Source organism: Homo sapiens, chromosome 16 (assembly GCF_000001405.40).
Source record: "Homo sapiens chromosome 16, GRCh38.p14 Primary Assembly".
Taxonomy (NCBI): domain Eukaryota; kingdom Metazoa; phylum Chordata; class Mammalia; order Primates; family Hominidae; genus Homo; species Homo sapiens.
This window is the reverse complement of record NC_000016.10, coordinates 2,320,950-2,335,739: the sequence shown is the minus strand read 5'-3', so window position 1 is coordinate 2,335,739 and position 14,790 is coordinate 2,320,950. Positions and strand designations below refer to the sequence as shown.

General features: G+C 49.2%; 1 protein-coding gene and 1 pseudogene across 1 annotated transcript in view; both read left to right on the top strand.

Moving 5' to 3' along the window:
• Positions 1 to 14,790, top strand: part of ABCA3 (ATP binding cassette subfamily A member 3) — a 64,848-nt gene that overhangs the window by 4,989 nt on the left and 45,069 nt on the right. Inside the window, exons 2-7 of the mRNA NM_001089.3 lie at positions 5,886 to 6,092; positions 6,983 to 7,287; positions 9,248 to 9,327; positions 9,466 to 9,730; positions 11,209 to 11,336; positions 12,052 to 12,217. Coding sequence (NP_001080.2) covers positions 9,274 to 9,327; positions 9,466 to 9,730; positions 11,209 to 11,336; positions 12,052 to 12,217 — 613 coding nt within the window. The 5' untranslated portion in view covers positions 5,886 to 6,092; positions 6,983 to 7,287; positions 9,248 to 9,273. The remainder of the gene's footprint in view (positions 1 to 5,885; positions 6,093 to 6,982; positions 7,288 to 9,247; positions 9,328 to 9,465; positions 9,731 to 11,208; positions 11,337 to 12,051; positions 12,218 to 14,790) is intronic.
• RPS16P7 (ribosomal protein S16 pseudogene 7) lies at positions 3,007 to 3,493 on the top strand (annotated as a pseudogene).

Sequence of the window (14,790 nt, the reverse complement as noted above, 5' to 3'; positions counted from 1 at the left end):
ACTTGTAAACTCCAACACGCCTAGGATGCTTAAAGTAGACTTGTGGTGAGGGCCCACCATCACTCCCCACATCACAGGGTGCCTCCTCCTCAGTCAGGATGCCACGGCTGCTGACATACAAGCCAGCGTGAACACCAGGGTCTGTCCAAGTATTAAATGTCAGTAAAGCTGGCAGGGTGTGGTATCGCATGCCAGTGGTCCCAGCACTTTGGGAGGCTGAGGCAAGAGGATCATTTGAGCCCAGGAGTTTGAGACCAGCCTGGGCAACATAGTGAGACTCGTCTCTACAAAAAAAAGCCAGGTGTGGTGGTACATGCCTGTAGTCCCAGCTACTTAGGAGGCTGAGGCAGGAGGATCACACCACTGCATTCCAGCCGGGATAACTGTGTGTGACTGAGATCCTGTCCCTACAGGAAACAAACAAACAAACAAACAAATCAGTGAAGCCATTTTTTTCACATTTTTAAAGAAAAATACTTACAAGTAGATTTTTTCATCACTTTTTCACTGCTGCAGGTTGTCTAGCCCACCCCATTTGGAGACCACTGGGAAGGGGTGAGGACCATACTCTATAAATGTGCCTGCTTTTTTTATATATTAATAATATTTAGGGCCGGGCACAGTGGCTTACACCTGTAATCCCAGCACTTTGGGAGGCAGAGGCAGGCAGATCACTTGAGGTCAGGAGTTCGAGACCAGCCTGGCCAACATGGTGAAACCCCGTCTCTACTGAAAATACAAAAATTAGCTGGGCGTGGTGGCGAGTGCCTGTAATCCCAGCCACTCAGGTCGCTGAGGCAGGAGAATCGCTTGAACTCAGGAGGTGGATGTAGCCATGAGCCAAGATCACGCCATTGCACTCCAGCCTGGGCAACAAGAGTGAAACTCCGTCTCAAAAAAAAAAAAAAAGAACTAATATTTAAGTCTGGCACGGTGGCTCACACCTGTGATCCTAGCACTTCAGGAGGCTGAGGCAGGTGGATCACCTGAGTTCAGGAGTTCAAGACCAGCCTGGCCAACATAGCAAAACTCCATCTCTACTAAAAATACAAAAAATTAGCTGGGTGTGGTGGCGGGCATCTGTACTCCTCAGCTACTTGGGAGGCTGAGGCAGGAGAATCACTTACTTGAACCTGGGGGCCGGAGGTTGCATTGAGCCAAGATCGGGCTGCACTCCAGCCTGAGTGATAGAGCGAGATGCCGTCTCAAAAAAAAAAAAAAAAATTACTGGTGTTTGGGCATTTCATCCACAGGATCCATTGAATTAGACATTTTCAAATATTTACTGTGTACCCGTCTCTCAAAAAAGATAATGTCCTAGATAAAGGATTAAACAAAACCAGTCACCCTCACCCAGCATCACTGCCCATTGGGACACACCCCGAGCTCCCTTCTTGGTGCAACATCCAGCGCCTTGATGACATGGGCCCAGGGTCTGCGCCTTTCCTGGCTCATTCTCTGCACTGCCACTCGGAATGACTCGCTGCTCCCCATACACAGTCTGTCTCCAGGATCCTGTAATGTCCTTCCTGTCCCAACTAATGAGTCATTCAAGACCGGCTTCCCATGTCACCTCCCCCCATCACCCTCCCGGGCCATCTCCCTGTCTTGCTCGCTGTCTCACACACGCAATTAATTCCTGTCTTCTCCTGAATCTTGCCATACTTTATTTAGCATCCGTCACAGCAATTACAGTGCATGCAAGTGTTCAGGGACTGTGAACTCCTTGGATTAAGAATGTTATCATCGGCCAGGCGTGGTGGCTCATGCCTGTAATCCCAGCATGCACTTTGGGAGGCTGAGGCGGGTGGATCACAAGGTCAAGAGTTTGAGACCAGCCTGGCCAGCATGGTGAAACCCTGTCTCTACTAAAAATACAAAAAATTGGCAAGGCATGGTGGCGCACGCCTGTAATCCCAGCTACTCAGGAGGCTGAGGCAGCAGAATCGCTTGAACCCAGGAGGCGGAGGTTGCAGTGAGCTGAGATCACACCACTGCAGTCCAGCCTGGGCAACAGAGTGAGACTCCGTCTCAAAAAAAAAAAAAAAAAGAATGTTATTTTCATTTCCAAATCCTTAGTACCTTGTACAAGTGCCCATCAGACAGCAAAAACTTGGCAATTGTTGAATGAACAAATGCTTTTTTGTCTTGTATACCCTAAAAGACCATGGATTCTACCGGCCTCCATTAATTGACTGTCCTCCGTGCCTCAGTGCGCATACACGCGGATCTTTGATGCTGGCTGGCTGTTGCAGACTCCTGGTGTCAATATTGGGATGTTGGGTCCTCCCCTGAAGGAAAAGCACCAAATGTGACCAGCACCACACCTGTGGCAAAGCGAGCAGAGCCATGGTTGGCGGCTCTCTTTGTGCATCTTGGGGCGGTTCACCTGTGGCTTTATCAAGGCCCCCTTCTTTCCATGAGTGGATTTCTCTATGCCTTTGTGGACAGGCTTTCATGGAGGGAGGTGTAACCAAGCTCAGAATACAACAGGAACACATGGCGTAATGGGTCTTGTGCCCCTCACTCTGGCCTGTCCCTTCTGTTCATGGGTCTCAAGACCCACCACCCCCAGGGACCTCTGCTCCATATATGCAGATATAAAAACTTCTTTTGAAAGGGCTCATAAGGGCCAGGCAGCATGGCTCATACCTATAGTCCCAGTACTTTGGGAGGCCAAGATGGGAAGAAGATTGTTTCAGGCCAGGAGTTTCAGACCAGCTTGGGCAACATAGCAAGACTCCATCTCTGCAAAAAATATAATAAGTAGCCAGGTATGGTGGCATGTGCCTGTGGTCCCAGCTGCTCAGGGGGCTGAGGCAAGACGATCACTTGAGCCCAGGAGCACCAGGCTGCGATGAGCCCTGCTCACGCAACGGCACTCCAACCTGGGTGACAAAGCAAGACTGTGTAAAAAAAAAAAGGGCACATAGGAATTGGGTGGCAAATTCAAGCCTATGGTGCACACAAAAATACCTGCAAACCACAAATAAAGAAATGGAGGAGGCAATCGGTGCGGGTCTTTGGACACAAGAAGACAGCCACAGCTGTGGCACACTGCAAACGCGGCAATGGTCTCATCAAGGTGAACGGGCGGCCCCTGGAGAAGATTGAGCCGCCCACGCTACAGTACAAGCTGCTGGAGCCAGTTTTGCTTCTCAGCAAGGAGCGATTTGCTGGTGTGGACATTCGTGTCCGTGTGGAGGGTGGTGGTCATGTGGCCCAGATTTATGCTACCCGTCAGTCCATCTCCAAAGCCCTGGTGGCCTATTACCAGAAGTATATGGATGAGGCTTCCAAGAAGGAGATCAAAGACATCCTCATCCTGTATGACCGGACCCTGCTGGTAGCTGATCCCCGTCCCTGCGAGTCCAAAAAGTTTAGAAGCCCTGGTGCCTGTGCTCGCTACTAGAAATCCTACCGATAAGCCCATCGTGACTATCAAAATTCACCTGTATAATAAACAGATTTTGAAGGATTTTAAAGTTTCAAGGAAAAAAAAAAAAGAAATGGAGGAGTTTGGGATTTCTCCAATTTGCTGCTGAGCACTGGCCGCCTGAAGAGCCACAGCGCTTGTTAACTGGCACAGCCGATGGCTCTTGAGCTGACAACAGTTACTGGAAAGACCATTTGTAGAAGAATTTGTGCCATCAAGAGAGTTCTGAGAAATGAGCAGCCTGCAGTATGCGCTCACTCTGCACCGAGTCAGTTGCTTACCTAAAAAACAAACATTGAGATACTCAATGATATGTGTGATGTTTAATATTTTAACAGTAAGCAAACCTTTTATAGAGAGGGGAAAAGGTTTGCCTTCCCTTTCCTGACTGTGTCCCGGGACTAGTGAAGAGAGCCTCTTCAAAGGGAAGTTCTTGAAGCTCTGCTCTTGTCCTCTTGCTGGGCAGAGGCGGCAGCTTTAGGAGTGGCTGGAGTCCTGAGTGTTTAACTTAGAGTAGCTGATGGGGGCTCAGCCGGGGCCGGTCCTGGGCCTCAGTCATCAGCACTTCTGGAGACTCTGCCGCCTCGGCGTCAAGTGCAGAAGGAACATTAACTTCTTTCTCTTGTGTACATTTGCTTTTGTAACAAAAAACTTGCCAGATTTTGTAATTCTAGGATCTCTTCCTTTAAACTCCTTTTGCTGAAACAGAACAGATGCAAGCGTAGTGTTCAGTGAGACTTTAGGTAAAGCCTCACACGTATCAGGCAACAAGCTGGGTGCCGTGGGGGCACAGAGATAAAACCTCGGCAGGGCACAGTGGCTCACGCCTGTAATCCCCACACTTTGGGAGGCCGAGGCGGGCGGATCACTTGAGGTCAGGAGTTTGAGACCAGCCTAGCCAACATGGCAAAACTCCGTCTCTATTAAAAATACAAGAATTAGCCGGGCGTGGTGGCATGTGCCTGTAGCTACTTGGGAGGCTGAGATGGGAGGATCACTTGAACCTGGGAGGTGGAGGTTGTTGTGAGCCGAGATCGTGCCCAGCCTCGGCGACAGAGCGAGACTCTGTCTCAGAAAAAAAGAAAAGAAAAGAAAAGAAAACTTCTATTAAGGTGATGGGGCTTAGGGGTCTTTTTTACCTTTCAGTTTCTGATGTTATGTTCTAGGAGTGATATGCAAAACTTGTATGAAGTTGGAAGTTGTTCTGTGTTTTTAGGACCCACAGGTTGTAGTAGTGTAGTAGTTAGAAGACAGACTTGGAAGTTAAAACAAGCCAAGGTTCAAGCCCTGACTTGGCAGCTTCTTGCTGTGTGATTTTGGGCCAGGCATTTCCTCCTTGTTTCTTCGTCTGCAAAAGGGTGATGTTCCAGGTCAGGAGATCGAGACCATCCTGGCTAGCACAGGGAAACCCTGTGTCTACTGAAAAATACAAAAAAAATTAGCCGGGCGCTGTGGTGGGTGCCTGTAGTCCCAGCTACTCGGGAGGCTGAGGCAGGAGAATGGCGTGAACCTGGGAGGCGGAGTTTGCAGTGAACAGAGATCGCGGCACTGCACTCCAACCTGGGAGACAGAGTAAGACTCCGTCTCAAAAAAAAAAAAAAAAAAAGGGTGGTGTTGCCAGAAGCCAGGAGAGGATGAGGAGGTTGTAGAAGCAGAGTGCTTACAAGCAGGAAAGCAGAGTTTCAGCTGGGTACAGTGGCTCACACCTGTCATCCCAACACTGTGAGAGGCCAAGGTCGGCGGATCACTTGAGGTCAGGAGTTTGAGACCAGCCTGGCCAAAGTGGTGAAACCCCATCTCTACTAAAAATACAAAAGTTAGCTGGATGTGGTGGTGGGTGCTTGTAATCCCAGCTATTTGGGAGGCTGAGGTAGGAGAATCGCTTGAACCTGGGAGGTGGAGGTTGCAGTGAGCTGAGATGGCACCACGGCACTCCAGCCTGGGCCACAAGAGTGAAACTCTGTCTCAAAAAAAAAAAAAAAAATAGAGCTTATATTCTTTTTTTTTTTTTTTTTGAGACAGGGTCATCTCGGAGCTGATGACTCTGAGTTAGCACCATCTCGGTTCACTGCAACCTCCACCTCCTGGGTTCAAGCAATCCTCCCACCTCAGCCTCCCGAGTAGCTGGGACAGGCACACGTCACCACACCTGGCTAATTTTTGTGTTTTTAGTAGAGACAGGGTTTTGCCATGTTGGCTGGGTTGGTCTTAAACTCCTGACCTCAGGTGATCCGCCCAGCTCAGTCTTCCAAAGTGCTGGAATTGTTCAGGCATGAGCCACCGTGCCCGGCCAGGTGTTTATTTTCTAAATCCAAAATTTTTTATCAGATCTGCTCAGTTTTAAGTAACATCCTCAAAATCTATTTTGCTCTTCTGTTTTCTAACTTGGTAAGAGGTGTTTTATAATTATTTTCCAAATTACACTCAAACACCTTCCATCTGTCCAAAGGTGCTGGAGAGTCATGCCTGTGAGCCCTGGGCACCTCCTGATGTCCTGCGAGGTCACGGTGTTCCCAAACCTCAGGGTTGCCCTGCCCCACTCCAGAGGCTCTCAGGCCCCACCCCGGAGCCCTCTGTGCGGAGCCGCCTCCTCCTGGCCAGTTCCCCAGTAGTCCTGAAGGGAGACCTGCTGTGTGGAGCCTCTTCTGGGACCCAGGTGAGTTCCCTGGTACTGCCCTGCAGCCTGTGTGGGAAGGGGGGTGGTCTATCTTTCTGACCTTCTCTCCCAGCCCTGGGACTGGAGAGGACAAGATTAAGCATGGGGATCTTTCCTTTCTTGGCCAGACTTCCAGTAAGGGAGGTTGTCTGTTCCTCTAACCAGAAGACTTCTTTGAACTGTGACGGTTTTATATTCCTCACTTGGTAGAGGCAGAACGTTCATCTCAGCCAACCCCACGCCCATCTGGAGTGTACTTCCCCGGGATGATGGCCCCAAATGGAGGCACCGGCCTCTTCTTTTTGCCTAAACCACTTCTAGAAACCTTTTATAAACCACAGGCCTTAATGTGTATCTTTAAGTCACTGCTGTTTTATTCATCATCAGCAACTGACTTTGAGACAGGTCTTCTACCTTATTAATTTTAAAAGAATTGGGATAATTTATTAAGTTGCCCCTTAATAGCACTTCATACTATTTTAGCTTTAATTTCTTCACTTTTTAACAATATGATTCATTAAAAGTCATATTTTAAATTAATTTTTAACTGTTTGCAGTTGTATTTCATGTAAATATTTATTGACTACCCTTTAAAGCATAAATTTTGAATATTATTAGATATCAACAGCCACATCTTAAAAAAAAAAAAAAGCAAGAGTTTTAATTTAAAAAGAGCCTTGATATAAATGATTTTCAATGGACTGAAACCAAACCAAAAGTAAAATGGGTCATTTAAAAAAAAAAAAAAACCCTTCCCCGTGCGCTGGAGTCTCCCGGGTCATTGTCGGGGAGCGCTAGCTCATGGTGATCTAGGAATGACTCGCTAATTGTTTGCCTTTCTATCCCGTGCATCTTAACCTGGCTGATGGATGATGTTGGGTTTGGATCAGCCATGAGTGTGGAGCTGAGCAACTGAACCTGAAACTCTTCCACTGTGAGTCAAGGAGGCTTTTCCGCACATGAAGGACGCTGAGCGGGAAGGACTCCTCTCTGCCTGCAGTTGTAGCGAGTGGACCAGCACCAGGGGCTCTCTAGACTGCCCCTCCTCCATCGCCTTCCCTGCCTCTCCAGGACAGAGCAGCCACGTCTGCACACCTCGCCCTCTTTACACTCAGTTTTCAGAGCACGTTTCTCCTATTTCCTGCGGGTTGCAGCGCCTACTTGAACTTACTCAGACCACCTACTTCTCTAGCAGGTTAGCAGCTCATGAACTCTTGAAGTTCATGAGATGAACTTAACTCTGGGTTCAGTGTCTGTGTTCCTTTTTCTTACTTTATTTGTATAGAGATAGGGTCTTGCTATGTTGCCCAGGCTGGTCTCGAACTCCTGGGCTTAAGGGATCCTCCTGCCTCGGCCTCCCAAAGTGCTGGGTTTACAAGCATGAGCCACCACACCCAGCCTCTGTTTCTGATATTTGAAATTTAGTAAGACAGATTTTAGCTAAATTGAGGGAATACCTTTACAGATCTAAGCTCTCATTTCTGCTATCACCTGTATTTGATCATCTTTTGGCAGATTTTTTTCCCCATTATATGTGCCAGATTTAAATATCATGTTCCTATATAATATAGGATAGATTATTTTTTGGATGAATTTTCGTTGGACAGATGGTAAAGATGAAAATGGCAGCTGGGCACAGTGGCTCACGCCTATAATCCCAGCACTTTGGGAGGCTGAGGCGGGCGGATCATTTGAGGTCAGGAGTTCAAGACCAGCCTGGCCAACATGGTGAAACCCCATCTCTACTAAAAATATAAAAATGAGTCAGGCGTGGTGGCAGGCGCCTGTAATCCCAGTTACTCAGGAGGCTGGGGTAGGGGAATCGCTTGAAACCAGGAGGCGGAGGTTCCATTGAGCCAAGATCACGCCACTGTACTCCAGCCTGGGTGACAGAGCAAGACTCTGTTTCCAAAAAAAACAGAAAAAAGAAAAAGAAAATGGCTAGTCTTTTTGCTGCGAGGCTCTGATGCCAGTACCTGTAATAACAACAGGAAAAGCCGGTCTTTAGGGCCAAGGAGAGGGTGTGACTGATGGCCCCACCAGCATGTCTGCCTACCCGGGCCTGCTCCGGGGCAGCAAGGCCAATGGGGGCCAGAATTCCAAGTCCCTCCTTTCCCCTTCCCTGCACAGCTCTCTCCAAACCTTAGAAATCACCCAGGACACTATGTTCAGTTTTCTTTTATGGGTTCAGTGTTGGTTAAGAATAAAGCTGGTCAGTCAGTAAGTGGAATTCCATAAGCCTGAATATTTTGGTAATAAATAGCAAATCCATATTAACCACCAAGAACATCCTAATAGCATTTATCAAATGGTAAATAGCACTACAAGGATGAAGCTGGAGGATTGCTTGAGGCCAGGAGTTCGAGACCAGCCGGGTGTTGGTGGCATGCACCTGTAGTTCCACCTACTCGGGAGGCTGAGGTGGGAGGATCACAAGCCCAGGAGGTTGAGGCTGCAGTGAGCTGTGATCGCACCATGGCACTCCAGCCTGGGCAACAGAGCAGGACCCTGTCTCAAAAGAAACAAAAAAAATTTTAAAAACTACTGCAGAAGTCACAGTGCACATAAAAAGCATGTCATTGATCTTACATTCACCAAGGAACAAGTTGGGCTCCAAAAAGACTATGCTCTTTGGGTTTTTTTGGTGTTTGTTTGTTTGTGGCAGAGTCTTACTCTGTTGCCCCCAGGCTGGAGGGCAGTGGCACGATCTTGGCTCACTGCAACCCCCGCCTCCCGGGTTCAAGCGATTCTCCTGCCTCAGCCTCTCGAGTAGCTGGGATTACAGGCGCCTGCCACCACGCCTGGCTAATTTTTGTATTTTCAGTAGAGACGGGGTTTCACCATGTTGGCCAGGCTTGTCTCGAACTCCTGATTTCAAGTGATCCACCTGCCTCGGCCTCCCAAAGTGTTGAGATTACAGGCATGAGCCACTGCACCTGGCCAAAAAGACTATGCTCTTTGGATGTGCAGGGTAGAGGATTGAGGGTGGGCATGGCACAGGCCTTGTACCCTTCCCTCCAGGGGTGTTTGGAGTTAAAGTGGCACAAAAGAAGGTGAGAGACATGGAGGAAAAAGGGTCCATGGCTTTTCCCCAAATCCCCACTCTGCGTGTTTCTATTGCGCACCCACACTCTCTGTCTTTGGTCTGTAACTAGCACTGGGCGTCCCTTTCAGCAAGACGATGGCTGTGCTCAGGCAGCTGGCGCTCCTCCTCTGGAAGAACTACACCCTGCAGGTGCGTCCAGACTCTGGAGGGAGGTCAGCTGCGTGCCTAGCCCAGAGGCTCCTGGGGATGCCCTTGAGGGAAGGGCTGTCTGCATGCCCCTGCTTCTGCCTTGCAGCCCATCACCGTGCCCTATTGTATCTCTTCCAGAAGCGGAAGGTCCTGGTGACGGTCCTGGAACTCTTCCTGCCATTGCTGTTTTCTGGGATCCTCATCTGGCTCCGCTTGAAGATTCAGTCGGAAAATGTGCCCAACGCCACCATCTACCCGGGCCAGTCCATCCAGGAGCTGCCTCTGTTCTTCACCTTCCCTCCGCCAGGAGACACCTGGGAGCTTGCCTACATCCCTTCTCACAGTGACGCTGCCAAGACCGTCACTGAGACAGTGCGCAGGGCACTTGTGATCAACATGCGAGGTGAGACATGCCGGGGCTCTCGGTGCCAGGCCTAGTGGTGCCTCCACGCGGCTGGGCAGGCAGGGGTCGAGCCCAGGATGTGCGAAGCAGCTGGGTGAGGAGTTCACCCTGTGCAGACTTGGCCTCTGCTTCTTCCCGCATCACTACTTCAACCTGTAAAAGGCACTGCTGTTCCTTAAACCTCTGCCTGCCTGCGAGTAAATAGCAGTCTCTCCTTTGGGTCCGATAGCACCATCACAGTCCCCACCAAAGGGACCCTGGTGACATTTTAACCCATGGGGCAGAACAGGTTAGAAAATGCACCTGCCTGCAGTTGCCCCAGGCTCCTTTCTGTTCCCTCATTTTATGAAAGACATTACTGGTCTCCAGGCCTCTGTGAACAGAGTCCAATAAGATACATAAGGAAAGTAGCAGATATTTGGGACTTAAATACGACCTGGCAGAAAAAGGGAAAAAAGAAAGTGAGGTTTTTGCTTGCCTGATGGCCCTAAGACTAGGAAGCCATCAAGCCCATCTAGCATCAAATCTCTTCTCGGCGGCTGAGCCACCCAAGGAATCCCCCAGCTTCTCTGTGGCCATGCCTGATTGTACAATGGGACCAGGGCTGGCCGCCCACCTGTGCAGAGCTGTGAGGACCCCGGGGAGCAGCAGGTGCAGCAGCCTTAGCAGTACCAGGCCCTGGAACTGCATCTGATGGTCAGTAGGGTGGACAGGACTTTACAGGGATGCCTGGGTGGACTTGAGCCAGGGAAAGCCCTTCTGTGACAAGGGCAGGGCACAGTTTGACCGTGTGGTGCCAAGAACCTTTTCTGGGACGTGGTTTTGGGTGGGCAGCTCTGAAAACAGTGATGAGAAAGCCTGAGAAGGGAACTCCCACTGTGAGTGCTGCTCACCGTTCCTAAACCCTTGCTGTCGGGATGAAAGCTGTCCTCCATTTTCCCCTCCTCATTTGGGCATTTACCTCCCGGGCTTTAATTCCTTGTAGCAAATACTCAGAGGAAGTGCCTTGGTCCCTCACAAAATGACGACAGTAAAACCCTTTCTGAATTGTTAAGGAGTGTCCAGATGATAGAAAAAGCCTTTGAGACACTCTGAGTTAGCATCCACTCCATTTGTAAAAACACACCATTCTGGTTTTGAGAAAGAGAAGCCACCCCGGGCTGCAGAGCCCACTGCAGGGTGGGTGGTGGGTTTGCTCCCCTGGGCCTTGCTGCAGGCGCTACCCGGAGCCTCCAGCTCTGCTCCAAAAAACCCGCACCAGGAGAACTCACTGCCTGGGGCTCTGACCCTGCCATTCTGCCCTCCTTGATGGCAGCTTGTCTCTCTGCCAAAGATGAAAGCTGCCTTGAGTCTCAGGAAGGGTTTACAAAGCCCTAGAGGATTTGCCGTCTTTCATCTGCCAGTGACCTGAACCACGCAGATTTTTCAAGCAGGAGGGCCGATTGGGCAACCACAGCTCCCGTGCTCTCTCTTTGCAGTGCGCGGCTTTCCCTCCGAGAAGGACTTTGAGGACTACATTAGGTACGACAACTGCTCGTCCAGCGTGCTGGCCGCCGTGGTCTTCGAGCACCCCTTCAACCACAGCAAGGAGCCCCTGCCGCTGGCGGTGAGACGTGCGGCCGGGCCGAGCAGTCACAGCCCATCAGCAAGGCCTCCGCTTCCTCCCGCGTCACTAGTTCAACCTGTAAAAGGCACTGCTTTCCCTTAAACCTCTGCCTGCCTGCAAGTCAATAGCAGTCACTCCTTTGGGTCTGATAATATCATCACAGTCCCCGCCAAGGGGATCTTGGTGACATTTAAACCCACGGGTCAGAACAGGTTAGAAAATGCACCTGCCTGTGGCCGCCCCAAGCTCCTTTCTGTTCCCTCATTTTATGAAAGATATTACTGGTCTCCAGAACAGAGTCTAATAAGATAGTTAAGGAAAGTAGTAGGTATTTAGGACTTAAATATGATCTGGCGGAAAGAAAGAAAGTGAGGTTTTTGCTTGCCTGATGGCATTAAAATTAGGAAGCCATCAAGTCCATCTAGCATTGTGGTTGGCGGCCCTCCAGGGATCCTGAACACTCGGTGGCACTTCACAATGGAATTAGGAATGGCCAAGAACCACCCCCCAAAAGGGGCCCCTGTGTGGCTCCCTGCTCCTGCTAGGACAGGGACCACTCAGTGTGACATTCCGGGGCCTGTTGGAGATACTCAGAGGCGGGGGAGTGGTGAGTTCTCGGCTGTGACAGCCCCCCAAGCGCTCTCCCACTCCACCCTGTTGTTTGCCCCTCTGTCTGGATCTCTCGGAACAGCTGGTTTTCTCTTTGTTTCCACAGGTGAAATATCACCTACGGTTCAGTTACACACGGAGAAATTACATGTGGACCCAAACAGGCTCCTTTTTCCTGAAAGAGACAGAAGGCTGGCACACTACTTCCCTTTTCCCGCTTTTCCCAAACCCAGGACCAAGGGAACCTACATCCCCTGATGGCGGAGAACCTGGTGAGAAGCTCGGTTAGGGTTCGTGTTACCAGCCCGGGCTGTTGACTAGTGACAGTCATATGGGGGCAGCCCCACTTTGCAAAAGTATTTCTTGAAGAAATACTTTTCAGGACATTTGGCTTGGTTCCAAGTCTTTGCTGTTGTGAATAGTGCCGCAATAAACATACGTGTGCATGTGTCCTTATAGCAGCATGATTTATAATCCTTTGGGTATATACCCAGTAATGGGATGGCTGGGTCAAATGGTATTTCTAGTTCTAGATCCCTGAGGAATCGCCACACTGACTTCCACAATGGTTGAACTAGTTTACAGTCCCACCAACAGTGTAAAAGTGTTCCTATTTCTCCTCATCCTCTCCAGCACCTGTTGTTTCCTGACTTTTGAATGATTGCCATTCTAACTGGTATGAGATGGTATCTCACTGTGGTTTTGATTTGCATTTCTCTGATGGCCAGTGATGATGAGCATTTTTTCATGTGTCTTTTGGCTGCATAAATGTCTTCTTTTGAGAAGTGTTTGTTCATATCCTTTGCCCACTTTTTGATGGGGTTGTTTGGTTTTTTCTTGTAAATTTATTTGAGTTCATTGTAGATTCTGGATATTAGCCCTTTGTCAGATGAGTAGATTGCAAAAATTTTCTCCCATTCTGTAGGTTCCCTGTTCACTCTGATGGTAGTTTCCTTTGTTGTGCAGAAGCTCTTGAGTTTAATTAGATCCCATTTGTCAATTTTGGCTTTTGTTGCCATTGCTTTTCGTGTTTTAGTCATGAAGTCCTTGCCCATGCCTATGTCCTGAATGGTAATGCCTAGGTTTTCTTCTAGGGTTTTTATGGTTTCAGGCCTAACATTGAAGTCTTTAATCCATCTCGAATTAATTTTTGTATAAGGTGTATGGAAGGGATCTGGTTTCAGCTTTCTACATATGGCTAGCCAGTTTTCCCAGCACAGGAAGGGGAACATCACACACTGGGGCCTGTTGTGGGGTGGGGGGGCGGGGGGAGGGATAGCATTAGGAGATATACCTAATGTTAAATGACGAGTAAATGGGTGCAGCACACCAGCATGGCACATGTATACCTATGTAACTAACCTGCACATTGTGCACACGTACCCTAAAACTTAAAGTATAATTAAAAAAAAAAAGAAAGAAATACTTTTCAGGAACATTTACTCTTGTTTATAGGAAAAGTAAAACATCCAGTATAACTGGTTTCTGAAAGACTAAAATAATCCTTGAAGATAGCAAAGGCCCTTTCTCTATATCCTGGAAGACGTGCTCTTGAATGAAACATTTGTATTTCAGCTTTTTTTCTTTTTTTTTTTTTTCAGACAGAATCTTGCTCTGTCGCCAAGCTGGAGTGCAGTGGCGCGACCTCGGCTCACTGCAACCGCTGTGTCCCAGGTTCAAGCGATTCTCCTGCCTCAACCTCCCAAGTAGCTGGGATTACAGGCGCACACCACCACGCCCAGCTAATTTTTGTATTTTTAGTAGAGACGGGGTTTCACCACGTTGGCCAGGATGGTCTCGATCTCTTGACCTCATGATTCACCCACCTCGGCTTCCCAAAGTTCTGGGATTACAGGCATGAGCCACCACACCCGGCTGTACGTCAGCTTTTAAAAGCTCCCGTTTGAGTTCATGGGGCTTGGTTTACATTTTCTTTTTCTGCCGGGCCTTCTCTGTGTACAGACTTACTGGCATTTTTAGCTCCGTGGTCCTTGTGCACCTGATCCATGGTTTGACGGAATCAGTGTGGTGTTCATGGAAGCCAGATCTTGGTTACTCTGATGCCCCATCAGTGTGTGTCTTCGTGTGGACCTGGGCAGGTGGTTGGTACGTGTGCCTCCTCTGAAGCATGGTCTTGTCTTGGAACTGAGCTAGGGACAGCCAAGAAGTGACTCGGACCCAGGACTAGGCTTAGCTGTCAGGCCAAGAAAGACCCCACTGCAGGTTCTGGGTGGAAGTCCAGGGTGTTCTGGAGAACGTCGTATTTCACGGGTCTGGCAGGAGACAGAACTCATGGAAGTTTGCCATGGAAGTCACAGCAACGTCCCATCCCTCCATGAGGCATGATTCTGAGACACAAGTGCCAGGCAGGCAGGAGACAGCATGCATGCAGCCAGCGCTTAGCGATGTCCCTTACTGGTGCCAGGGCTGTCACCAGGCTAATGCTCTAGGGCAAGATTTTACATCTAGAACTAAGATGAACAAGACCTGGTGTGGGGTGTGTGAGGCCCCAGAGCGATGCCCTTGACAGGTCACCCAGCCTGGAGCTCAGGAGAAGCTATGTCCAGCTGTCACACATGATGCTTGCTGCCTGCAGCAGGGGACTGCAGGAGGGGACACTGGCTGCTGAGACTGGGGCCCAGGCAGGAGCTGCTCAGCTCCCTCCTGTTTTTGGGGAACAATTCCCTAAGCTTGGAAGCAAGAGAAAACCAATCTCAAAGGAAAAGACTGACAGATTTCAGCATGTACAAACTGGAAATTTGCCAGACACGAAAAGACCTAATGGTGGTTTAAAAAAAAAAAAAAAAAAGCACATAGCAGACTGGGGAAAACCTTTGTGGCAAAT